Source organism: Homo sapiens, chromosome 8, assembly GCF_000001405.40.
Source record: "Homo sapiens chromosome 8, GRCh38.p14 Primary Assembly".
Taxonomy (NCBI): Eukaryota; Metazoa; Chordata; class Mammalia; order Primates; family Hominidae; genus Homo; species Homo sapiens.
Genome location: NC_000008.11, coordinates 140,049,922 through 140,077,305, shown reverse-complemented (window position 1 = coordinate 140,077,305; position 27,384 = coordinate 140,049,922). Strand labels below are relative to the sequence as shown.

At 45.1% G+C, this 27,384-nt stretch overlaps 1 protein-coding gene across 15 annotated transcripts in view, besides 2 other annotated features; it reads left to right on the top strand.

The window, feature by feature from the left end:
- TRAPPC9 (trafficking protein particle complex subunit 9) overlaps positions 1-27,384 on the top strand; it is a 730,855-nt gene that overhangs the window by 381,274 nt on the left and 322,197 nt on the right. The gene's annotated exons all lie outside the window — the stretch shown is intronic.
- Positions 14,692-15,533: an enhancer, noted in NCBI's record as "H3K27ac-H3K4me1 hESC enhancer chr8:141071871-141072712 (GRCh37/hg19 assembly coordinates)". NCBI's record gives its function as "activates a minimal SCP1, AML or CMV promoter by ChIP-STARR-seq in primed H9 embryonic stem cells {active_cell/tissue: H9 hESC(primed)}" and the evidence as "EXISTENCE:reporter gene assay evidence [ECO:0000049][PMID:30033119]".
- Positions 19,330-19,831: an enhancer, noted in NCBI's record as "H3K4me1 hESC enhancer chr8:141067573-141068074 (GRCh37/hg19 assembly coordinates)". NCBI's record gives its function as "activates a minimal SCP1, AML or CMV promoter by ChIP-STARR-seq in primed H9 embryonic stem cells {active_cell/tissue: H9 hESC(primed)}" and the evidence as "EXISTENCE:reporter gene assay evidence [ECO:0000049][PMID:30033119]".

The following is a 27,384-nucleotide window of genomic DNA, read 5'->3' as shown; positions in this document are numbered from 1 at the left end:
ATCTTCTGTTGAACAAGTGAACCATGATCCCTGTCCTCATGAAGCTTTCAGTCTAATGGGAAGATATTTGTTCAATACACAAACAAATATGTATTATATTTATATTTTGTGGTTATATTTTCTTCCTTTTTTTTTCTTTTGAGATAGGATCTGGCTCTCTCACTCGGGCTGGAGCACAGTGGCACAATCTAGGCTCACTGTATCCTTTACCTCCTGGGTTCAAGCGATCCTCCTGCCTCAGCCTCCCGAGTGGCTGGGACTACAGGTGTGTGCTACCATGCGCAGCTAATATTTAAATTTTTTATAGAGACAGAGTCTTGCTATGTTGCCCAGGCTGGTCTTAAACTCCTGTGCTTAAGCCATCCTTCTGCCTCAGCCTCCCAAAGTGCTGGGATTACAGATGTGAACTATTGTACCCAGCTGATTTTGTGGTTATGTTTTCTATACATTATATAAATGTTATTTACATTTTATGTTTATGTCAGATGTAATTACATCTATGTCAACTACAAATTTTAACTGGCGCATGATAGTTGCTTGCATGGATGAACTCATAGCAGCTTGGATGTGGCCTTGGTGAGGGCTGTGTGACAGTAGGCGCCGATGCCAAGGCCAGCCTTGGGGTGCCACGGCCGATCTTCGTGATCGTATTCAGACCTCACAGTGAGTGGCCTAGGAATCGGGTGTTGTCATCTCTGAGTTTCAGATGGGCACCCAGAGGGGATGGGCCCCATGGCCTGAGGGACACAGCGTGGAATGCGGATGGACACACGTTGGCTCGGGAGGCCTGGCGCTCTCCTCTGCACTCTTCCTTTGACCTCACTTTCTTTGATGTTTGATCCTAGCTAGATCCTGGCTTTTTCAGAAAGAACAGTGTCTGTGGACTTTTTACTTTGTGAAGCAAGGATGCACGAGTTGTAAAGCAAGGATGCAGCTCTCACGGTGGTGTCACTGGAGAGTGTCACCGAAGGCCCACTGACGAGCAAGGGCCACACACACAGCAGCCAGGGGAGGGCAGCTCTTTTCGAGGCTCTCCGGGGTGCCATTTTGGCAGTGATGTCATCAAGTGGACATTTATAGGCCATGCTGTGTTCCACACATGCAAATCAGAAACTCTCTTCCTTATGTAGACTCGTCACAGTGCTGCTATGTATATATACAGTGCTTAAGAGTGGTTGGACAGCTTGCGTCTCTCCATCTCCCCACCTGTAAAATGGGGATCGTGATAGCACCTCCTCTCAGGACTGGCCTGAGGTTTACAAGAATCATGTGCAAAGCCTGCAGGAAAGCAAGGGCTTCCTGTTAGCTGTTATTATTAGCACTGCTCTTCTCGTTATCGTTGCATTAGAAGTGGGCTATCATAAGAGATTTCACTCCAATGTTTAGTTGCTTCAAATCAGTAACTGCAAAAGGCAGCTAAGCAGAAGTGAGTCAAAATGCCCCGTGTCCAGCTTCAGAAGGATATTTTCCTTACAGCTGTTGCAGCTGAAGGTGAAAATGTGTACAGCCCTAGAAATATCACAGACATTGGCTCTACATCCAATGTGTCGGATGCCTCTACAGTGAAGGGCATCCGAACACTTGGCAGCCTCTTCTTTTCTCCTATGGAAAAGTGGTTATAGGAAAGAAGGGGGATGATGCTGTGCCGTGCTCACTTTACTGACGTGCATATAATATACATGCTTAACAAATGTTGGAGCTGATGATGGTGGTGGCAGTGATGACACTGGCTAGCTACTTATATGGCGGCAGCGAAGGCAGTTCCATGGTGCTGAAACCCTCCTAATGGAGGAGGAATAAGTGCCTTTGCATCCCACATGGTGGCGATAAGCAGGCTGGAGGAGGAGAGGGATGTGGGGACTTTGTCCATAATGACAGAGTTGAGGTCTGACATTCGTGCTGTCTGTGGGCTGATCTTCTCTGTCTTCACTCCGTGATGACCACACAGAGCTGCTACTAAGTTGGCCCCAACTAGTCAAGAGTTATTAAAATAATCTTTGTAATGAGTAACAATAAAAACATAGTTTCTCTGTGAATAGTTTTATGTACATTATAGCATTTAACCTCCAAGACAGTCTAGTGTGGTAGGTGTCGGTAACTCCATTTTATAAGACGCAGGGCCTAGAAGGCAAAGAAGGGTGGTGTTTTTCTGGAGTCACCTGCTCTGGGGCCGAGCCCTGTCTGCAGGGCTCTGATGGTCACCTTCTTGATGGGCACACATTGCCTCCTTTTATTGCAGAGGAGAGTGGGTCAGAGGCAGGAGGTCTAGGCTTCAGATCTCTTCTAACATGAAGGCTGACATTGGGCAAGTGATGTCTCTTTTCTGGGTTCCAGTCCCCTCATCTAAAAAAATTGGGTAGCAATTTTCCTGAGGTGCTTACAGGGATCAGCATCTGAATGCAGGTCATACCACTGGCGATCAACAGCACCAGAGGCCCAGCTACTTGCTGTGGTCCCGTAGTCCCTGCCCTCTGACCCCTTCCTGTCTGTGCCCGACGTTCTCTCTTCCTGAAGGACCTCCAGAGCTCTCCACTGAGCGGCCCTTCTTTCAAGAGGCCTGCATTGCCCACAATCAGATTGTGACTCCACCGAGCTGAGGTCTTTCACAGCTTGATCCTGCTTGTCTTCTCCTAAGGAATTGGCCCCCTCAGGGCGGGGACTGTCTTTCCTCTGAGTTTTTCAAGTGCCCAGAACAAAGTCTGTCTGACAACGAGAGCCCAGTAAGTGTTTGTTAAGTGCAGCGACATCAGCCAAGAACCCCATGTATCCTTCCCACCCTGCCATCTTCTGTGCATCTCCTTCCTTCCCCTACGGAGGGACCCTGGTGGACGGGAAGCAGATGTTGATGAAGTGGCCTCCCTTTTGGAGATGAGGAAGAGGGACGGGGAAAAGCTGGAAGGGGATGCACTTGCCCTGAAGCCCAAAGTAGTGGCTTTTCTGAGCATTTCTTCCTTAGGGTGACAGTGAAGCACGGCTGTGACCACTGGAGTTCTGATTGCTGGGTAGTTCGGGGGATGCTGTGTCCCAGGGCCCGCCCACTCCAGTGTCCCTGGGCTGGAGGGGTGTAGGAGGAGGAGGAGTCTTGTCAGGAAAGCAACCCTGACTGCCTCCTGTCCTCTGGACCTCTGTGAGGTCTGCTTACCTGCCCTGCACTACTCATTCCGTGCTGTCTGACCCACGATGCCTTTGGAATTTTGTCCGTGATCGGGAGCACTTCCTGTCTGTGACGGTAAAGACCTGCATTGGGCAGTGGCAGGAGGGATGAAAGGCGACATGGGGGTCCTTGGCTGGTTCTCCACGTCTCATTTTCTTCTCCTGGACAATGGACTTGCCTCACAGGATTGCTGGGAGGATTTAATGAGGTCACAGGTGTGAACATGCAAGGCAGACGTATATCAGGGATGCAATAGGTGATTAAATTTAACTCATTTACTAGGGAAAATTTTAAACGTATAGAAAGTAAACAGAAGAATGTGAGGAACCATCCACACATCCATTAACAGCTTCAGTAATCATCAACGTTGAGCCATTCCCATCTTTATCATCCCTACCCAGGTCACCATCCCATACTGAGTGACGGTGTTGAGAATGATGATGATAATGAGCTTCAGTTACTTTATTTCAAGGTAAAGCTACACACATTTAAACACACACATCTTAACTCTACAGTTTGGATGGATGGATACATTCTATTAACCCTTCTCCCTCGTAGAACATTTCTATCTCCCCAGAAAGTTCTCTTGTATCCCATCTAGGTTAATCCCCATACGCTAACTAGAGGTGTCCTCAGTTCTGATGTTTTTGCCTTTGCCTAGTTTAGAGTGTCACATAATAGGCACCTCAGCATAAGTGCTCTTCTGTCCTGCTTCTTTGCTCAGTATAATGTTCGTGAGATTATCCCAGTTGTTGTATCAGTAGTTCATTTCTTTTTATTGCTCAATTAGTAATCCATTGCATGGACACACTGTAATTTGTTTATTCTCCTATTGATAGACATTTGTTTTCAGTTTTTGACTATTATGAATAAAGCTGTTATGAACATTTTTCAAGTAATTTTGTTGACATGATTTTTCTTTCTTGGAAATATTGATAAATTGGAAATACTAGGAGTTATTAAGGGGTAGAATTGTTAGGTCATATACTAAGCGTGGGTTTAACTATAAGAAACTATCAAAACAGTTTTATAAAATCGTTGCTCCATTTTACATTCCCCCGGCAGTGTAAGAGCTCCGGTGCTGTGCGCCTTCACCATGGTACAGTGGGATCACATTCTAAAACTGTAGTCATTCTGGTGATTATCTTTTCATTGATTATAATTTATGGTTCCCTAATTCTAAGGACATTGAACACTTCTTCATGTGATTATTGGCCATTCATATATTTTCCTTTCTGAAGTGTCTGTTCAAGCCTTTTGTTCATTTTATGGGTTGTTTGTATTTTTATAGACTCGTAGGAGTTCTTGAATATTCTGGATCTAAATAATTTGTCAGATATACAGTGAAGTGAAGATGTATCTAGTGAAGATATATATATACATATGCACATATATTTATGTACATATAGTGACACTATGTTATGTATACACACATATAGTGAAGATATATATATATATGCATTGAATATATAGATATAATACGTTCTCCTAGTGTATATCTGTGGCTTGCCTCTTCACCACCACCGCTCCTCCTCCTCCTCCTCCTCCTCCTCCTCCTTCCCTTCTCCTCCTCCTCCTTCCTTTCTCCTCCTCCTCCTCCTCTTCCTCCTCCTCCTCCTCCTCCTTTTTTTTTTGAGACGGAGTCTCGCTCTGTCGCCCAGACTGGGGTGCAGTGGCGCAGTCTCGGCTCACTGCAAGCTCTGCCTCCCGCGTTCAAGCGATTCTCCTGCCTCAGCCTCCTACAGGCACATGCCACCACACCTGGCTAATTTTTTGTATTTTTAGTAGAGACAGGGTTTCACCGTGTTAGCCAGGATGGTCTTGAACTCCTGACTTGTGAGCTGCCCGCCTTAGCCTCCCAAAGTGCTAGGATTACGGCATGAGCCACTGTGCCCGGCTGCCTCTTCATTTGTTAAAAATTCAGATCTATTGAAATATAATTTACATGCACTGAAGTTCACTCTCGTTGGTGTACAATTCTGTGAGGTTTGACAAGGTTATCTGTGAAACCACACCAACAAAATAAAGATACAGAACAATTTCTTCACCTTAAAAAAATGTCCCCTCATACTGCCTTGTAGGCAACCCTGGCCCCTACTCCAAACTCTTGACAGCTGCTGCTCTGTTTTATGCCTTATAGTTTTGTTAGGTGCTTTTTCTGCGTCAGTTGAGATGATTGTGTGATTTTAATCATTGATTTTGTGAATGTGGCAGAGCGCACTGATTGACTCCAGTGCTAACTGGTCCTTGTTTTCCCGGGATCAACCCCGCTGGGCTATGGTGTTGTCTTTTCCCTACTGCTTGTCATACGCAGTGTGTGTGTTTCAAAATCTCTTAGCTACTTTTGTCTTAACAATTTGCTCAGAGCTTTTGTGCGTTTTATGAGCCAGAGCGTGGTATCTGCTTGTCCAGAGAGGCCCATTGAGAGAAAGGAGCCACTGCTTATAGAACCCCTGCATTATTGCATGTGTCATCAACTTAACCCCCAGAGACCCTGTGGGGCAGGCGTTACCGTCCCCATCTACACGGGCAGACTGAGGGTTCCAGAGGCAGGCACCGGGCCTCTGGCAGGACTGTGCAACTCCAGGGAAGGCCCCTTTGTCCAGCACGTCAGGGCCTCCCAAGACATTGTGCCTTCCTCCAGTATCACAGGGCTGCTTTCTAAGGGGGAGACTGCACGCTTGAGCCCGTGTTTCCTCACTCTTCCAGGGAAAGTGCCTGTTCTTTTCTGCCAGTCTCCTTGCCCACAGAAGAAGCCTGGTTGGGGCTTAAAGGACAAAGTAGATCTGGTGCCTTTTAGGGCCAGGGACTGAGCAGCATGACCGCTGGAGTGAGAGCGAGACTGTGAGTGTCGAGGGCTGGTCCACAGAGGTTCCTGGCCTCCAGCAGTCCCTTCTTGCAGCTCAGTCCATCAGGCACAACCACAAGCTGTAGGTAAGGCAGTGGGTTTCAATATAAGCCAGACATGAGTTTGAATCAGCTGTTATCACTTAGCCTTGGCTTCAGCTCAGGCAGGTTTCATGATCTGATCCTCCATTTCTTCATCTGGAAATTGGAGAAAAAATAATATTTACCTGTGAGGATTAGGTGAGATAATATGGGGCACCAAAGCTCAATATGCTAGAACGATCGCACGCACTAACGCTTGGTGGTCCTGCTCCCGTTGCTTCTGGCCGAGTGCTGCCAAGGCCTGGGCCCCCCGTCCCTCTGCTTCACAACAGAGCCTGAGCTGTAGGTAAGAGACGTGGAGGGCCTGGCACCCAGGGCTGTAGGTAAGAGACGTGGAGGGGCTGGCACCCACAGCTGCCTGGCAATGCTTGTTTGCCTGTCTCCAGCCCTCCTGGAAGTGTTTCCTGGGCCTGCTGATGGCTTTGATCATGTGTGGCTCTATGGAGAGTCTGTGTGTGTGGCTTTAGGGGACAGCCCTGCTGGTGTGAAATGCTGGTGAGCAGCCTGATCTTTCTGAGCCAGTTTTTGGCGTGTTTTGAGAACCTGCCACACTCTTCTGTCACTATGGTCAATTTCGAAACGAGGCCCTACTGTTCCTCCCCTCAAGGAGCTCCTTGTCTAATTATGGAGCAAGAACAGTCTGGTTTTTCTCATCATTTTTCCTCATGGAATTACTAATTAAGTGTCGATTATTGAAAGAAAAATCACATAGCTTTGAGCCATCATTATGTAGGTAGGTATGTATATATTATATATATGCGTATGTATTATGGATATATGCATGGATTTTTTTACATTAATTCCAGTGCTGACAAAGTTTATGGAGACTGACATATGAATATGTTTCTGTTGCCAATGTAAGTTGGTACAATGTCTTAAGAAGGCTGCATGTTAACACATATCATCTGTGCTGTGACATTTCTATATGTTGCCTCTACCTTAAAATAATTCAAAAGTAGAAAAAAAGGTATGCGTGAAGATGCCCTTCCAAGTGTATTTGTATTAGCAAATACGAGAACAACTTCAGTGCCCCTCGTGCTGGTGAATTTTGGTTGTCACCTTGACTGGATTGAGGAATACCTGGAGAACTGGTAACGCGTTGCCGCTGGGTGTGTCCCTGAGGGGACTGGCGTGTGAGTTGGGGGACTGTGTGGTGAAGATCCACCGTCAGTGTGGGTGGCACCATCCATTAGCCGGGGGCCTGGGTGGAACAGAAAGGCAGAGGAGAGGAGAATTGTCTTCCCCTCCTGGAGCTGGAACACTTTTCTCTTCCTGCACTTGGACATCAGAACTTTGGGCTCCCGGGCCTTTGGACTCTAGGACTGACAGCAGCAGCCTCGAGGGTTCTCGGCCTGTGGCTTTGGACCAAGGGCTACAGCACTGGCCTCACTGGCTTTGAGGCTTTCGGACCTGCAGCTCCTCTGGTTCTCCAGCTTGCAGGCGGCTTGGTGTGGTGAACCTAGGGATTGAGTTCTCCTAATACATCCCCTCTCATGTCTCATGTGCACACACACTGTGTCTGATTGGTCCTCTAGAGAACCCTGCCTGATACACCCATCAGCAGGAAACATTTCTGGTGGCTTATGGTTTATTTAAGTGATGCTGTATTGTGGGGTCATATGGGGTATATTAATGTGATTTGCAGGCCACAAAGTTGTCTAAGTTTATGCAGATTATACTCATTTATAAGTTGCGTGCAAGTAAACAGGGCCCAGAGGGACCGCCCTCAGTGAAGCAACACTGAGGCCTTTTCAGACCTCTGTGCTGAGCACTTACGTCTTGGTGCCTTACCCATGCCCACCAAATTCCACCCCCGCCGTTTAAGGTGGATCACATTCTTACTGTTTAGAGGAATAGACTGAGGCCTTAAGTTGCTGATTTGCCCAGGTGGGGTGGGCAGGGAAGGTTGACAGTGGGCTTTGAGCCAACCTTCAGATCGTGGGCCCTGAGGTTTCTGCGCCACTGCTACACTCAGTGGTGAGAGAATAGCAACATTCAATTGAATATGTTTTCTTCTTCAGCAGATACTGAATTCTGCTGTTATGCTTGCATTCTTTAATGGTTCCTTGAGCACAGCGGCTTCAGGAGGGGATCGGGACAGCTCCCTTTGATAAGCGTAACTGTGCTCTGAGCCCTGGGCATGGCCTGCTCATTTTGCTTGTGCTGGGAACTGGACTCAGGCACAGCCAGTTGGCTTGTGCATTTCAGAAAGTGAGTTTGTCGGCATCATTTAAAAATCTTTTCCTTCTTGTGTTTTTTTATCCCCTATATATTGTGGATGCAAGGGAAATTCAAAGGTGAATTACTCAATATAGTTACACAGATTAAATAATCAAACTTGCATTGACACAGAAAGGTTCATGCATAATTCAGGTAGTTAATACTCACTGATTTAATTTATTAGGCAAAGCTATATCGTTGTGCCAAATGAAGAGCTGTTCTGAATGCAGATTGAACAAGCGTCCAGAGTAGTGCTGTTTGTGGTAAACTAATTAGGCTTTGATTGTGGCCTGCAAAATACAAATGGATGAATTAAGCTATTTCGATTGAAGAATTTCATAAGGCAGGTGATCATCCATTCTTGTTTAACTAGCGGCCTGATTTCATGACAAGCGTGGCTGAGTTTGAATCATTCATTTGGAAGAGCAATATTAATGATGGGAATGTTTTTGAAAGTGAAACTTATTTAATTCATAATTGTTTAAAATTCCTGAGTGAAGGTCCCCTCCAAATGTAAGAGTTCATGTCACTTGTGCAGCCTGCCCAAGCGTCTTTGCCCTGATGCGAGGTGACTGTGACTTCTCTCAGTTCCCTGCAAGTCTAATTGGTCTTCTGGTTGCATTTGGCATCTGTGTCTTCAAGGCTGCTCATGGCCAGCAGAAAACAGAGCTGCTTCCCTTGCCTGGAAAGCCTTCTGTATTCTCTTCATCCCTTCAGAAGCTACCATTTCTTTCTTAAATGCCTCAATGTCACACCTCCATGAAGCCTTCCACTTCCCCAGGCAGCTCTGCTCTATTACTGGGTGGCACGCATAGCACTGGGGCCGTGAGGGTGAATCCGTCATAATCCTTGCTTGTAAGGAGCTCAGACACAGGAGACTGACAATTCCCACACGAGGTCTCCACCCACCCGCATACACATACTATAGGTAAGTGCAAAGTTCAGAAGCAATACGGGCAACAAAAAATGGACACATAAATCCGCTTGTTTTACTTGCCTAATGAGAAAACATGCCTGCTCAGACACTGCAGGTGTGGGGCTGGGTATGGGCCAGGTGCTTCCACTGGTGACATGATGCGTGCCTCAGTTCTTCTTTCCACAGTCCTGTAGAGCACTGAAGTTGGCAGCCAAGCTTCTCTGGACTTCTTTCCTTCCTTTGCAACATCTTTTTCTCACAAGTCTTGCCTTTTCTCTGCATGAGCTCTGATTGGTCTAGGTTAATAACACATATAGAGAAAGAAAATAAGACTCTTGTATTTGATACTCACCCCCTTTACTGTGTTTATATTGTCCCTTTATTTGCCCTGTGACCTTGATCAAGTCACTCTCTTCTCTGGATTTTCATCTGCAAAATGAAGAAATTGAGGAAGATGCCCCCAAGTTCGCTTTCAGTTCTTTTCTTTGCTTAGATGCAACCAGGGACCAAGCTCTGTCCTCACGTAAGTGGACATGGACAGTAGTTCTCATGGGATTGAGGGAAATCAGAACAGGTGGTCTATTGCCAAGAGCCCAATTTGATCATTTAAAAACTTAGAAGGTTGGTGGGGCGTGGTGGCTCAGGCCTGTAATCCCAGCACTTTGGGAGGCCGAGGCAGACAGATCACAAGGTCAGGAGATCGAGACCATCCTGGCTAACATGGTGAAACCCTGTCTCTAGTAAAAATACAAAAAATTAGCTGGGTTTGGTGGCACACGCCTGTAGTCCCAGCTACTTGGGAAGCTGAGGCGGGAGAATCACTTGAACCCGGGAGGCGGAGGTTGCAGTGAGCCAAGACTGCGCCATTGCACTCCAGCCTGGGAGACAGAGCGAGAATCTGTCTCAAAACAAAACAAAACAAACCTTAGAAGATTGAATTAGAAAGAAATGGGTCTTTCATAAGCCATGGCTTTTTCTCTGAATGACTGCTTACATTCTGTTGAACAGATATGTGACAAAAATGTTTCAAGCAGAGGAAATACGTTTACCCTATTCAAGACTCCTGTCACTTGTCCTTACAGATGTTTTCCCTAAGCTTACAGCTGGAACCTGGAGAGGGTGCCTGTCAGTAGATGGCTTGGCTTCACATGCAGGAGCCTTTCTTCCTCTGACAGCTCCCCTGCAAGTGCTGCAGGGAAAAGACTGCAGCTTCCCTTCATCAGGCATGCTTTGTGCCCCTTGGCACTGCTCCCTGAGATGAGGGTGCCCATCCTTTGGTGCCAGGTATCTTTGATCTCTGTCTCCTTTTCAGATTTCTTTTTAAACACAATAGTTTTCCATTATATATTGGACTTATATAGGCTTTGCACCGAGTAGGTGTTAAGTACCTCCCTGCTGGTTGAGAATTGCATGCTGCATGTAATTACTCACTGATTAATGTCTTTACATTGACGTATTTACAAATTGTAGTCTAGAGTAAACCTAATAAAAACTTCTGGTATTCATTTTCTCAGACAGACATTTCATTTTGCCTGTATTCTCAATCTCACAGGTCTTGCCCCAGCTCATATCAACTTAGTTCAGTTCAATTCACTGCACTTCAAGAGATATTCATTGTGTGGCCCGTGGGGGAGCGACATTAAACACAGCACAATCGCCATTCTTAAGGAGCTCACAGCCATCTGATGACCATCGGCATCTTCAGTGTCTCCCTTCACATAGGCTCAGGTCTCCCGGGGCTTACAAAGTGCTTCTGTGAACTCTCCACCCCACTTACTGCTCCCATGTCTCCCTCCTGTTCATCAGTGGTGGATTTCATCCACAAGAGTCACATGTCAGTCGGTTGTCACATCTTCAGACTCCACTTCTAATTCTAATTCTACTGCTATTTCTACCATATCTGCAGTTACTTCCTCTGCCAAAGTCTTGAGCCCCTGAAAGTCATCCATGAGGTCTGGATTCAACTTCTTCCACACACCTTTTCATGCTGCTATTTTGACCTCCTTTCAGGAATCATGAATGTTCTTACTGGCATCTAGCATGGTGAATCTTTTACAGAAGGTTTTCAATGTACTTTGCCCAGATCCATCGGAGGAATCACTATCTATGGCAGCTGTAGCCTTATGGAATGCATTTTTTAAAGAATACATGTACATGTAAAGATACATTGGCAAATGTCAATGTTTGCAAAATTCCCAGGACTCTTTGATCCATGGGCTGCAGATTGGATACTGTGATAGCAGGCTTGAAAACAACATTCACCTTCTTGTACATCTCCATCAGCTGTCTTACGTGACGTGGTGCATTGTCAATAAGCAATAATATTTGAAAGGAATCTTTTTTTCTAAGCAGTAGGTTTCAACAGATGGCTTAAAATATTCAGGAAACCATGCTATAAACAGATGCGCTGTCATCCAGGCTTTGTTATTCCACTTAAAAGCACAGGCTGAGTAGATTTAGCATCATTCTTAGGGGTCCTCGAATTTTCAGAATGGGAAATGAGTGTTGGCTTTAAATTCAAGTCACCAGCTGCATTAGCCCCTAACAAGACAGTCAGCCTGTTCTTTCAAGCTTTGAAGCCAGGCATTGACTTCTGCCCTCCAGCTATGAAAGTCCTAGATGGCATCTTCTTCTAGTAGAAGGCTGTTTTACCTACACTGCAAATCTGTTGTTTAGTGTAGCCATCTTCCTCAATGATCTTTGCTAGGTCTAATGGATGTCTTGCTCCAGCCTCTTCATCAGCACTTGCCACTTCACATTGCGCTTTTATGTTATGGAGATGACTTCTTTCCTTCAACCTCATGAACCAACCTCTGCTAGCTTCAGACTTTTCTTTTGCAGCTTCTTCATCTCTCTCATGTTTCATAGAATTAAAGAGAGTTAGGGCATTGCTCTGGATTAGATTTTGGCTTAAGGGATTATTGTGGCAAGGTAAATAACCGTGGTAAGGAGCATCAATACAAGTTGTATTAAGCATATGGATATAATGTCTTCCTTGGTTATAGGGGATGATATCTTACTGCCAAGATCACCAACCTTATCCTTTGGGCGAAGTCTGTGCTCATTAGGAAGGGGAGATGACAGTTGTGTGAATGTAACAGGATCATTTCTTCTCACTGTAGAGAAGAGGTACTGCACTTGTAGTTCCCATGGACAAACATTGTTTCAGGAGACTTGGATGGGTAGAGGCCTTTACAATCCTGCAGTGAATGGGGGGAGTCTTTTGTATACTAGCAGCACATCCAGGCCATAATACTGTATCCTTTTTCTTTAATCTGGTGTCCAAACCAGTCACAGAGAAATACCTCCTAGAGATCCTATTGCCAGGAATTAGTAATGTTGCTGAGATAACACTGGCTAATGTTTGTGCAATTCCCAGGACAAGAATCTGAAGTTTTCTTTTCTTCACAGCTTCCTGCCGCTGCACTTAGCCCTCCAGCATTTAAGCCTCTGGAATATGCATGTCAATTTCTCTTTGCTTTGTTACCTCTCTAATTCTGGGAGGACCCTGTGCGCCTGCAGGGGAAATTCACAAGTATAATATCTTTCCTGCCTTCCAGGAGCTCTGGGTCTGGCATGCAACGTGTGCTATCAGGTAGAGATAAAGACTGCCATCCTAGCTTTTGGTTTCCTAAGAGCCTTTATATTTCATCCGTTTTAAAATGCCTCCTTGTCGCTCCTGTGCTTTTCTGTTTCCGCTTCCTTTTTACCCTTAGAGTGGCAACCTCCAGCTCATGTTGCACAGGACTCTAGGTATACATCGATGAATGTCACGTTGTAAAACCAGAAAAGGTAAAAGAAAGCTGACCATTTCACATAACCCATTATTGTATGAACACAATGCTATTTTTCATATTTTCCAGGAAAGGGTCATGTGGGTTAGTGTATAATTGGCATAGAAATTTGTTATTCCTGCCAAGTGTAACAGTCGAGTTGGGAAAATTAATTATGTGACTATGTCATTGTAGACAGGTATGCTGTTCTGATGCACTGAGTCACAAAACCACACTAGATAAATGGCTACACAGAGAAAAAGGAATTCATCCTTCACTTCATGGAGGAACTGCCATTTTAGGAGGGCCTGCAGCAGAGAGTCGAATTTTTGCTGGCAGGAAAGAGGAGACACAGTGTCAACAGAGAGGCAGAGCAGGGGCCAGCATGTTTCGGGAGGCAGGGCCACCCGTGTGCCTTGCATTTAGGGGTGTGATAGGAAGCGGGCAAATTGTGAACCCGAAAGGGTGACAAGAGAGCAGGCAACATGGGCCACTGAGGAGACACTCGGAGAAATTTGATGCATACCCCGCCCGCAAGTCCCGCTCTTAAGGAAACACAGAGCAATTCCTCAAAAGCAGAAATATTTCTAGTTAGTATTAGTTCAGCATCCTGCCGAAATAATTCTTTTATGGAAAAAAGTATGCACTAAATCTTATAGTGTGACTAGTACTCAGGTACTGTTTTTACTGATTATCAAAATCTAAGTTTTCTTTATTGCCGTTCACTGTTCTGTTCCCCGATCCATTCAACAAACATTTCTCCTGGGCCTCTTATGGTATAGGCTTGGATAAGGCACAGTCTGATGTGTTTAGAGCCCTGGAATGCCACATGCTAACAGGGACATACACTAAATCAACTAGGAGCTCTAAGAACAAGATGGCCGTAGGATTATTTCTCAAAGTGAGTACCGTGTTACCTGGCTCGTGAAAGGTACGTGAGAATTGACTGCGTGGTGACGTGAGGTGAGAGCACAGGAAGCGGAAGGCCACGTGGGCCAAAGAGGAGTAACTGAAAACCAAAATGTGTTGGTGATATGCTTAGGCTTTGTGCTCCCACCCGAATCTCACTGTAAATTATAATCTCCATAAGCCCCATGTATCAAGGGAGAGACCAGGTGGAGGTCATTGAATCACAGTGGCCGCTTCCCCCACACCGTTCTCATGATAGTGGGTGGGTTCTCATAGGATCTGATGGGTTTGTAAGTGTTCAGGTGTTCAGTAGTTCCTCCTGCATTCACTTCTCCTTCCTGCCGCCTTCTGAAGAAGGTCCCTTGCTTCCCCTTTACCTTCTGCCACGATTGTAAGTTTCCTGAGGCTTCCCCAGGCATGCTAAACTCTCAATTAAACCTCTTTCCTTTATAAATTACCCAGTCTTGGAAAGTTCTTTCTAGCAGTGTGAGAACAGACTCATACAGTTGGCTACTGAGAAGTAGTGTGTGATAGTCGGGGTGCTGGGTGGCTCTGGGGCCAAATTGGGGATGGAATGAAGACCCTCCATTCCTTCCTCAGAAGCTTTCTGAGTGCCACCATGTGCCAGGTGCCACTGTGCGTGCCGGTAATGACGCAGTGAATAAGGTTAGGTTTGTGCTCCCCATAGGAGCTCATCTTCTAGTAGGAGAGCAGACAAGCAAGTGGACAGGAAAGCAGGAATGTGGCTGGTGGCAGGTGCTGTGAAGGCTGGAAACAGGAAAGTGATAGTGCTGAGCAGGGCTTACAGGAAGTGAGGAGGGTCTCTGAGGGCGCTGTCAAAGGTGAGCCTTGAGGAGTAAGAGGGACCCAGAGGCCAGTGGAAGAGGCAGGGAGAAGCAGCAGCTGGAGTAAAGGCCCTGGGGCTGCGGAGGACACAGCCAGGACATAAGGAATGGGCGAGAGAAATAGAAGGTGAAGCTGGAAAAGCAGGCAGGAGCCAGGTTACACACGTCCTACCGAAATGTCATGCTCAGTAGCGTGGGTTTATTCCGTGTCTGAGATCATGCTGAGGTCTGATCATGCCCAGTAGGATGGAATACCGAGCATCAGAGATCTCGGAGGAGGGGAATGACAGGCACAGCCCCTTGCAGAGAGCCCGCTGTGTACAGGGAAGGTGGAGGCCCATCCTGGTTTCAGGCAGGTCCATCCCAGGCCCCATCCTGTCCTGCCCTGCAGACCTGTGCTCCACTCAGGCTCCCAGGTGGTCAGGCGGGTCCTGGAAGGTGTTGCCTTTTTCCTCAGGTCAGAAGGGTGAACTGCAGGGAGGCCCCTGGCTGTGCGTGTATTGTGTTTGAGTGTGCGCACACCTGCGAGGGAATGGGGTGTGACTGGGCTGTTAGCTTTGCTTGATTTGCAGTTGTAAATGTGGAGATGCGTGGGAGGTGGCCCTGTTTGTATTCTCACCCTGCTCCCTGTAATGTTGGAGTGGGCCTGGTCTCCAAGCCCATGGTGGGAGGACTGGCCTGGAGAAGGTGTTCCGCCAGCACATATTGACTTCAATGCTCTGTTAATGACAGGATCAGAGGTCTCCAAAGCCCTTCCCAACGTGGGCCCTGACTGCTGCTCCATTCTCAGCCTCTCCCCCTTCCGTCCAGGCTTCTGGCCTGTTCAGTTTTATATTTTTGTTGCTTTGTGATTAGAGCAAGTGCCCAGTGCTTCCACTTCATTCGCCTGTCTACACCTCCTTTTCCTTCAGAGCCCAGCTCAGACAGCCTGTCTTTTGGGGTAGCCTCCTAGACTGCTGGGGCTGGACAGGGCGCCTCTCCTTTGTTCAAGGCTCTGTGGCACGCTGCCAAGCCTGTCAGAGCGGACATGGCTCTGTACTCACTGTGCCGTGGCCTGTGCTTGCTTCTCTGCTTCCTGCTTGACTGCGGGCTCCTTGAGGACAGAGAACCGGACTTGTGTATCCATCCCCAGCTCCGAGACAGCATCTGGCACATATTAGGTATTCACGAAATGCTCTTGATTAGAAGAATCAAAATTAAAATATGGCCTCAAGAGCTGCAAGAGAGGACACAACAGGCTGCCGGGCAGCCTTGGGAATGGCAGTCTTCCCGTGAACACCTTGCCTCTTTCATGGTGCTAAGAGAATATTTATAAATTAAGGGCTTCCACCAACTCCAGTGTGAAACCAAATGTTGGCCTTAACTGTTTCTGAAATCTTCCAATGGCTCCCCAGTGCCTACAGATCTGTTTCTCAATTCTGGCTTCTCATTAGATTTGAATGATCTGACGATATTAAAAAGAATGTGCAGGCCCCATGTCAGACTGCCTGAATCATCATCGGAGGTGGGGATAGTTTACAGTCTCTCCAGACTGTGACAGTGTGACTGGGAAATGCTGACCTGTAATGTTAGATCCCTCATTCTTAAAGCCTTGTTTTCACAAATTGGCTGAATATTGGAATCATTTGGAGAGCCTAAGAATTCAGCCCATCTGGACATGGCCTTCGCCCTAAGATCTCTAAGAGCACACTGGGTCTGCCATGATGGGGCAACTGGTGCCAGGCCTGCCCTCCTGCTGCAAACCACTAAAAATTATGGGGGGATGAATTAAATAAGGGTCGTCAGATAATAGACAAAAATCCTTCCCCCTAATCCTTCCTCCCCCCAGAAATAAACCAAAACCCACCCAGCACAGCACTGTGGTCTCTGAGGGCAGAGAAGCCAATTCGGTAGTGCCCGTGGGCAGGGATGGGTAGGGATGGGTAGGAACAGGTAGGGATGGGTAGGGTTGGGTAGGGATGGGTAGGGCTGGGTTGGGACGGATAAGGATGGGTAGGGATGGGGAATGGCAAAGAATGGCAGCTTTGCTCAGTGGCGGGGGTGGAGGGCAGAGTGCAGGAGGCCAAGGGGCTGAAATTTGGGGCAGAACATTAGAGAAAAAGGAACTCAGCAAAGAGAGAGCTCCAGAGTCTTCTGGGGGTCACCACAAGGCCATTGCTGAATCCTAAGCTGAACACATGGAGAGTGAAACTCCTGCAGGCAGGCAGAGAACTCCAGGCAGGTGTGCACTGAAGAATCCCAGAGCCTCACAGCCAGGGGAGGGACCTCGTGGGACACCCGAGGCCTTCTGGATGAGAGACCACAGAAAAGCCCCCTACTTAGCAGTGGGGCCGGCCTGGCCCCAGGGTGAAGGCTACTCTGGATGTGCCTTAAGAGGACTGGAAAACAGGCATCAGAAAGAACGAGCTGCTCCACAGGTAACGCAACTGCCAATCAAAAGGAGACCTGACACTCTTTAAAGGATGACAGCGACATTCAGACATTTGTCAACTGAAAACTCACAGTGCCCTACAAAACTAGCAGGAAGATAGGAACCATAACTGGGAGGAAAGCCTGTCACTGGAAGCAGACTCAGAAATGATAAGGATGATGGTGTTAGCGTACACAGACTTTGAGTTGATTGTTAGAATTATGCTTAAGAATTTAAAGGAAATCATAAATATAATGAGGAAAGGAGTGGAAGGAAAAGGACAACATCAAACATTTAGAGCTGAAAATGCAGCTCTTTTATCAAGAATACGTGAATAAATTTTGTTACTCAATAACATGAAAACAACACAATTAGAAGTGTGCAAAAATGTGAACAAACACTTCATAAAGGAAAGTAAATAGATGGCCAATGAGCATGGGAGAAGATGCTCAATGTCACAGATTTTCAGGGAAATTCAAGTCAAAACCACGATTAGACACTCCTACACACACATTGCCCAGAAGACCAGTGGCGTATGATAGGTGGAACGCACCTGTACTGCTGGTGACAGTGTACAATGGTGTGGCTACTTTGTTGAACTATTCATCAGTTTCTTTTAAAGTTAAACATATAGCTCCTGTACAATGAAGCAAACTCACTTCTAGGTACTTACCCAAGGGAAATGAAAATGCATGCCTGTACAAGACTTGTACTTTGATGTTCATTGCAACGTTATTCAGAATAGCTCCAAACTGGAAATAACCCCTGCAGCCAACTATATATAAATCAATAGTTGTAGTATTGTGGAATGCTACTGACAACAAGGAACAAGCTGCTGCTCCACTTAAGAACGTGGATGAATTTCAACAAAGCATGCTGGGTGAAAGATGCCAGACACAGAAAGTACACACTGTTATGATTCCATTTATATGAATTCTAGATAGATAGATCTAGAGAGAAAGCAGATCTCTGTTGTCCTGGAGGGGTGAGAGGGCTTTGGATTGGTTGTAAAGGGGCAGGAGGAAGGTTTAGGGGGTGATGGAGTGGCTTTATCTTTTCTCTGTGTGGATTATACAAGTATACATTTGTCATAATATGTTGAACTTGACAGTTAAATATGTATGTTTTATTGTATGGAAATCATACTTCATTACGATGGATTTAAAAACAGCAGCAGCAACAACGCAGAACCAGCCTCCCAGGAGTTTCTAGTATGCAGCGGAGTCTGAGAACCCACTGCCGCAAAGGCCCTCCTGACTCTCCCGACTCTCCTGACTCGGCTCCCAGCTCTTTCTCCATCATGGCTGTTTACACTCTGGCCAGAGCCCATGTGGAGTTGCATGCGGCTCCCTGCACAAGGCATCCTTTGTTTGTTTTCTTTTCAGATCTGTCCATTTGCCTAAATGTCTGTCTTCCACATTCTCTTTCGTCCCCACAGGCCTTCTTGGCAACCCTGGTTCTCCCGGCTGTTCTTAGTTCCTCCTTCCACTGTCTGTCTTGCAGGTTTCCGTCAGGATGCTCCCTGCCCAGCTTGTCTTTGTCTGTGAGGTTCCTTGTCCTGTATTGCGAGAACTTTGTAGGCCCAGGCCCTGCATTTCCATCTCTGTTTTCCGGGTGCACAGCTAGCCCAGGCCCAGAGGTCTCTAGCGAGCAAAAGAGGCTGAAGGGATGAATAGTGAATGAATGAATGAATAGTTGAGGACAGTTCATAGAGTCATGGGGCTGGAAGAGGTGAGGGCTGTGTTCTCATGCAGAGAAAGACCAATCAATGGAGGAAATTTCGCCAGTGGGTTTAAATGATCACTGAACCCCGTGGACATTTACAGGGAGGGCATTTTGGAACTAGTTGTCAAAGTGACACCGTAGTGTCTATAACCTCCTCCCCCACCCACCCCTAAGCACATCATATATTAAAGATTCTGAGAAGTGACTGGAGAAAAGGAAATTAATGTTCCACCATTGCTGACTGATTTCAATCTCAGCTCATTTCAAGGGCTGACCCAGGAATTTTCTAAAACCAAACAGGACAGTGTCCCAGAAGTCCAGAGTAGACGTGCCCCATGAGCTGTCACATTCGCGAGCACTTCTGTATGCAATGCGCTTAGAAAAACAAAAGCTCAGCTGGAATGCCAGCCGTTGCTGGGTGGATGCTGCCCCCAGCGTGGTGCAGGTGGTCGGAGACTGGCAGGACCACCTCCACTAGAGCTCTGGTGTGCTGAGCTCATCCTGGATCAGACGCTGGGCCACCTACTGCATGTATGAGTTTGCTCTCATTTTTTTTCCATTGTGGGAAGAACATGTAACCTTGAGATGGTTTTTAACAAATTTTTTTGAGTGCAATACAATATTGCTAACCACAGGCACAATGTCTTATGGCAGATCTCTAAACTTACTCACCTTGTATAACTGAAAACTTGATACCTATGGAACACAACTGTCCGTTTCCCCTCTCCCAGTCCCCAGAAACCACCATGTGACTTCCTGCATCTATGAGTTTGACCACATCCCTTAACTAAGCAGAATCGTGCAGTGTTTGTCCTTCTGTGACTGCTTTATTTCCTTTAGCATAATGTCCTCAAGCCTCATCCATGTTGTAGCATGTGGCAGGGTTTCTTCTTTTGAAAGATTGAATAACATTTCATTGTATTTATCGACCACATTTTGCTTATCCATTCATCTGTCCGTGAACACTGAGGTTGTTTCTACCTCTTGGATATTGTGAATAATACTGCAGTAAATGTGGAAGTGTACATATCTCTCTGAGATCCTGATTTCAATTCTTTTGGATAAATACCCATAAACAGAATTGCTGGATCATTTAGTAGTTCTATTTCTGATTTTTTGAGGAAACTTCATACTGTTTTCCATAGCAGCTGTACCTTTTTCCATTCCCACCATCAGTGTCCAAGGACTCCAATTTCTCCACATCCTCACTAATACTTGTCATTTTGATTTTGATAATAGTCATCCTAACAGGTGTGAGGTAATGTATCGTCATGTTTTTGATTTGCATTTCCCTAATTACTTACGAGGCTGAGCATCTTTTCATATGTTTGTTGACATTTCTATGTCTTCTTTGGAGAAATGTTTCTATTTAAATCTTTTGCCCATTTTTAATTGTGTTATTTATTAATCATTTATTATTTATTATTTAGTTAACTACAGTAGTTAGTTGTAGGAGTTCTTTATACGTTTTGGATATTAATCCCTTATCAGATAAATGGTTTGCAAATATTTTCTCCCATTTTGTAGGTTGCCTTTTCACTCTGTTGGTTGTTTCATTTTCTGTATAGAAGCGTTTTAGTTTGGTATAGTTCATTTTGTCTGGTTTTGCTTTTGTTGCCTGTGTTTTTGGTGTCATATCCAAGAAATCATTGCAGAGACCAAGTCATGAAGCATTTCCCTTATGTTTTCTTCTTGGAGTTTTAACATTTTAGATATTAAATTTAAATCTTTAATTCATTTTGAGTTTCTTTTTGTGTATGGTATAAGATAAAGATTCAATTTTATTCTTCTGCTTGTGGGTGTTCAGCTTTCCCTGCACCATTTGTTAAAGTGATTATCTGTCCCCCATTGTGTATTCTTGGCGCCTTTACTGAAGATCAGTTGACTTTATATGCATAAGTTTATTTCTGAGCCCTTTATTCCATTGATCTCATATGTCTGTCAGTCAGTACCATGCTAGGTTTTTGTTGTTACTTGTTTTTTGTTTTTTTTTTAGAGACAGGATCTTACTCTGTTGCCTAGGCTAGACTGCAGTGGTGGAATCATAGCTCACTGCATCCTCAAACTCCTGAACTTAAGCCATTCTTCCTCCTCAGCCTCCTGAGTAGCTAGGACTACAGGTGCACACCACTACACCTGGCAATTTTTTTTTTCTTTCTGTAGAGATGGGGCCTCTCTGTGTTGCCCATGCTGGTCTCAAACTCCTGGGCTCAAGTGATCCTTCTGCCTCAGACTCCCAAAGTGCTGGGATTCCAGGCATGAGTCACTGTGCCTGGCTACCATGCTGTTTTAATTACTATAGCTTTGCAATACATTTTTTAATCAGAAAGTGGATGCCTCCAGCTTTATTTTGGTTTTTCAAGATGGTTTTGGCTGTTCTGGGTTCATAATGGTTCCATATGAATTTTAAGGTTTTTCTGTAATTTTGTTAAAAAAAAGCCTTTGTTTAGATGGAGATTACATCTGTGGATTGCTTTGAGTAGTATAGCTATTTTAACAATATTAATTTTTTCAATCTATGAATACGAGATGTCCTTGTATTCATTTGTATCTTTAATTTTGTTCATCGATATTTTGTAGTTTTCAATGTACAAGTCTTTCACCTCCTTGGTTAAGTTTATTCCTTAGTATTTTTGATGTTATTATGTTATTATAAGTGAATTTGTTTCCTTAATTTCTTTTTCTGATAGTTCATTGTTAGTGTTTAGAAGTGTAACTAATGTTTGTATGTTGCATCCTGTAACTTTGCTGATATTTGTTTAGCAGTTCTGATAGCTTGTAGAGTAATGTTTTCTGGATATAAGATCATGTCATCTGCAGAAATAATTTTACATCTCTTCTGATTTGGATGCCTTTTATTTGTTTGCTTTTCCTCCTAATTGTTCTGGTTGGGACTTCCACTACTGTGTTGAATAGAAGTGGCAAGAGTGGTCATCCTTGCTTCATTCCTGATATTAGAGGAAAAGCCTTCAGTTTTTTTTACCATGGAGTGTGATATTAGCTGTGGGCTTTTCAGATATGGTTTGTATTTTATCGAGGTAATTTCTTCCCATTCCTGGCTCGTTGAGAGTTTTTGTTATGAAAGGGTGTTGAATTTTCTCATAGGCTTTTGCTGCATCAGTGCAGGTGATCCTGTGATTTTGCCCTTTATTTTGTTAATGTGGTAGAGCCACATTGATTGATTTCCTGTGCTGACCCTTCCTTGCATCCAGAGATAAATCTCACTTAGTTAATGTGTTGTTGAATTTGATTTTCTATATTTTATTGGTGATTTTTGCGTCCATGTTAATCAGGGTTATTAGCCTGTAGTTTTTAATAAGGTTCTTGTCTAGCTTTGGGATTAGGATAATGCTGGCCTCCTAAAATTTGTTTGGAAGTGTTCCCTCCTCTTCAGCTTTTTGGAAGAGTTGAGAAGGATTGGAATTAATTCTTTAAATGTTTGACAGAATTCACCAGTGAAGCCATCTGGTCCTGGAATTTCCTTTGCTGGGAAATTTTTGATTACTAATTCCGTCATCTTACTAGTTGTGATTCTGTTGAGGTTTTCTATTTCTTTGTGATTCAGTCTTGGTAGGTTTTGTGTTTTTTTTTTACGATGTAGCCATTTCTCATAGGTTATTCAATTTGTTGTTGTGTAATGGTTCATAGTCATCTTCTAATGATTTTTCAGATTTCTGTGGCATTGATTGTAATGTCTCCTCTTTCATTTCTGATATTATTTATTTGAGTCATCTTTTCTTCTTCGTTTTTTAGTCCCACTAAAGGCTTGTCAATTTTAGCTTTTCTAAAAATTTAGTTGTTTTTTAAAATCATTTTTGTATTCTCTATTTCATTTATTTTTGCTCTAATCTATTATTGTCTTCCTTGTGCTGATGTTGGGCATAGTTTGTTTTTTTCTCATTCCTCAAGGTGTAGAGATAGGTTGTGGATTTGAAGTTTTCTTTTTTATTACAGGTGTTTATTGCCACAGACTTCTCTCTTAGTACTGCTTTCCTGCATCCCATAGGTTTTGGTATGTTGTTTTTTTGTTTTTGTTTGTCTGAAGATATTTTTGAAATTTCCTTTTTGATTTCGTTTGAAACAAAATTTTAGATTCAGGAGATACATGTGCAGGTTTGTCACATGGATGTATTGCATGATGTTGGGGTTTGGGCTTCTGTGGAACCCATAACCCAAATGGTCAACATAGTACCCAACAGGTAGATTTTCAGACCTTCCCTTGACCTCCCCACTTTTGGAGTCCTCAGTGTCTCTTGTTTCCATCTTTATGTCTGTGTGTAGCCATTATTTAGCTTCCACTTTTAAGTGAAAACATAGAGTATTTGATTTTCTGTTTCTGTGTTAATTCACTTAGCATAGTGGCCTCCAGCTACATCCATGTTGTAGCAAAGGGCATGATTTTGTTCTTTGCTATGGCTGCATAGTATTCCATGGTGTATATGGACCACACTTTCTTTATGCAGTCCACTGTTGATGGGCATCTAGGTTGATTTCGTAACTTTGCTAATGTGAATAGTGCTGCAATAAGCATATGAGTACAAGTGTCTTTGATAGACAAAATAAACATGAAGGCAAACACTGCCATAAGACAAAGAAGGCCATTGTATAATGATAAAATGGTTGATTCAACAGGAAGATGTAACGGTTATCAGTATGTACGCACCCAACATCACAGCACCTAAATGTAAAGCAAACACTGACTAAAGGGAGAAAAAGACAGCAACACAGTAACAGGAGAAGACTTCAATACCCCACTTTCAAGAATGGATAACATCCAGACAGAAAATGAGGAAGGAAATCAGTTGACTTGAACAACACTATAGACCAAATGTTCCTAACAGATCTACACAGAACATCCCACCCAACAGTGGCAGATTATACATTTTTCTCAAGTGCAGACAGAACATTTTCCAGGAGAGATCACACATTGGGTCACAAAGTAAGTCTTACCAAATTTAAAAAGACTGAAATTGTACCAAGTATCTTCTCCAACCCAGTAGAATAAAGCTAAAAATCAGTTGTACAAGGAAAACTGGAAAATTCACAAATGTGTGCCAATTAGGCAGCACACTCCTGGACAACAATTGGGTCAGCCTCATCCTGGTGCTGGTAGCTTTGGTCACAGTGGTCAGGTGGTGTCTGCCAGGCTGCTCCACTAAAAAGTTTTCCTCTGTGTTTAATGAATGTCTGTGGGAGGAGCTTTGAGACTAAGTAAATGTTCTGTCTCATCGTCCTTTCTCTCACGAATCCTGTGATGATTCTTACCTTCAATGATTATGTGTTTGCCAAATGGTGACTTTTCTATTTCCATAATTCCTCCTACATTCATTTGTGGGAATTCTGTAGGAAAGAGATGTCTCTTTTTCCTCCCCTTTACTTAGTAGTGTCAGTTGGGGGTCATGGGTATTTGTTTTATTTAATGGATTTGAATCCACTCCTATCATTTTTTATTTATTTTGAGACAGGGTCTCACTTTGTCACTCAGGCTGGAGTGCAGTGGTTCAACCACGGCTCACTGCAGTCTTGACCTCCAGAGCTCAAGAGATTCTCCTATCCCAGCCTCTCCGGTAGCTGGGACCACAGGTGTATGCCACCATGCCTGACTAAATTTTTTTTTTTTTTTGAGACGGAGTCTTGCTGTGTCACTCAGGCTGGAGTGCAGTGGTGCGATCTTTGCTCACTGCAACCTCTGCTTCCCGGGTTCAAGCAATTCTCCTGCCTCAGCCTCCTGAGTAGCTGGGATTACAGATGTGTGCCACCACACCCGGCTAATTTTTATATTTCTACTAGAGACAGGGTTTCACCATGTTGGCCAGGCTGGTCTCAAACTCCTGACCTCAAGTGATCTGCCCACCTTGGCCTCCCAAAGTGCTGGGATTACAGGCATGAGCCACCACACCCAGCCCTGACTAAGTTTTTAAATAATTTTTTGTAGAGATGGGTTCTTGCCATATTGCCCAGGCTGGTCTCAAATTCTTGGACTCATGTGATCCTCCCACCTCAGCCTCTCAAAGTGCTGGGATTATAGGCATGAGCCCTCATGCCCGGCCATTACTATCATTATTTATTTTGTGGCTGAAATTATTCCAGACTTACTTTTAAAGAGAAGGTTTCCTTGCATTTACATCCAATTAAGAGAAAGGACTGCAGTTTCTGTGTTGTTGTTGTTGTTGTTGTTGTTGTTGTTGTTGTTTTGGAGAATACCGTGTGATGAGATACCTCTGGATGTTCTTTATTTGCTGTGGTAATTTTGAATTAGCATTATAAACCCTGGAATGCAGAAGGCCGCACCCCTCTTTGCCATGCCTTGTGCTTTGCCTGCTCTGCCTTCCTCCTCTGGTGGTCACCTGGCCGGCCCCTGATGCTCCATCTTTCTTAACTACTGGTGCTGGAGAGAAGCTGCAAGTGGGGGAGAACGTTTTCTTCTCTGCAGTCTTCCTCTTCCCTTTCATGGGTCTATTACCCTGCATACAATGGAAAGAAATACAGTGGATGCATTTGGATTGGAAACACAGTTAAACTCCTGCTGTGATCTTACAGGAGAGTGAAAACTACTGAATCACTACTAATGAGTCTAGATGTCTGCTCTTCTCATTAGTCCTCTCCACATATTCTTACCCACAGGGATCCAGGACTACAAATACTCCCTTTGTCCTACGTGGGGGAGCAGCCGTCCTTACGATGCATCCTTAAATAATTATCAATGTCCTTTATAGACCATTTACTATAAATCTCTAGAGAACAAATTTTTCCATTTCCTAAGAATGTGCTTTGTATTTGCTATTTGCTTTATGTTCTCAAAGGCAAAAAAAAAAAAAAAAAAAAAAAGAATGAACAATGTTTTCCTGTGTGGGTGCCATGGGGTGGGAGGAGGAAGCCTGTTTCTTGCAGGTGTATGCAGCACCCTTGCCTCCTCATCTTCTGTGTCAGGAAAGGGAGAGGGACCCCTCAGATGCTTGCTGCAAGCAATTGAGAAACCTGTGGCGATTAAGGCTTCTGAATCCAGGGTTGAGGGTTCAGATACACCCATGTGAAAAATGACCGACCAACGGTGCAGGGCTTACAGGAACCCCCGGGGTTCAGATCCCAGTGTGGAGCTGCTCTGTCCATCCTGGCAGGTCCCACAGTGCTCACTGAGGTCATGGTGCTCATGGAGGAGGTCTCATTGGCCCTGTGGCCCTGATTTTAAAGGCTCCACCGCCCCTTCAGGTCTTCTAATGGGCATGAGGGAGGGAGGAGTGTGCAGGAATGAAGGCACTTCTCTCTTGCTAACATCTGGTGGTCTCTGATGACTCATTCCTTTAAGGATGCTATCTGTAGTGGGAGCTCATCATACTTGTTAATTCCTTGTACGGAATGGCCACAAACCCTCTCTGTACGAGATTGTGTCTTAATGGCAGTTGAAGGTCTAAAATAGCCATCAAGGACTGTTTCGGTGACTTCCGTTCCTTCAGCGTGGAAGACAATGTCCAGAAGAACCTGAGAGTGCCAAGATGCCCAGCTGAGAAAGAAGGCCACGTGCAGGTGCCCTTCCCCCTGTGCAGGGCTGTGTGGCCCCCCAGTGTGTGTGCCCTGGAAGCTGGATGCCATTGTTTCCCTCCTGGGGTTGTCGGTGGGTTGTTCCCATCTGGTGTTTCCAGGTGGGACCCCAGGCTGGTGACTCATTACTTCCCCCCTTCTTCCCTCCCCAGCCCCCATCTCTCCATCTCCCATCTCTCTTCCTCCATAGACATTTCATGAGCATTTCCTGTGCCCCGGGTGGAGGTGCTGGGGATGAGGAAGGGTGTCCTGAGTCCCGTGTGCCTCCGTCAGGGGACCATGAGACCCAGAGAGTCATGGAGGCTGGTGCATGCAGTGTCAGAGGGAATTCTGTTTATGGGGTGGGGGCACTGAGGGAGGACCTGGGGTGGGAGTTGGGGTTGGGCATCTCACCTGGTAGAGGCACAACATGATACTTCTCTGAGCTTCAGTCCCCTGATTTGCAAAGTGGGAAATTGTTGTGAGAACCGCATGAGATGGTGTGTGCACATCGCTCAGCATGTAGGTTTTCCACAGACGTTAATTCTGCATTCTCCAGTTGGAGAGTAGCTAATGCGCATATTTCATGCCAGACTCCCCACAGCTGAAGTGTTAAAGGGAAGTTCAAATGAATCCTCTGCCAAGGACTTCTTCATTGGCTTTGATGACTCATGAAGCACTGGAGGCTTTACGCCTGAGCTGCCCAGTGTGAAAACCAAAGGCCTCCATTGCCGAATCCTCTCGCTAGCTCATGGCTGACCTCAGATCTGGTGGCCCCACTATCAACATGGGTCCCCAGGTGTCCCTTGTACACTCAGTGGCTTAGCCCTGTTGCCCCCACGCTGTACTCATGCCCCTGGTGTTACACACCCCAGTGGCCTGCCTGACAGTCACCGCTCACACCTGCATGTGTCATTTGGCGTGTAGGCAACAGTTACACACTATCTGCTCAATGGCCATCCAGT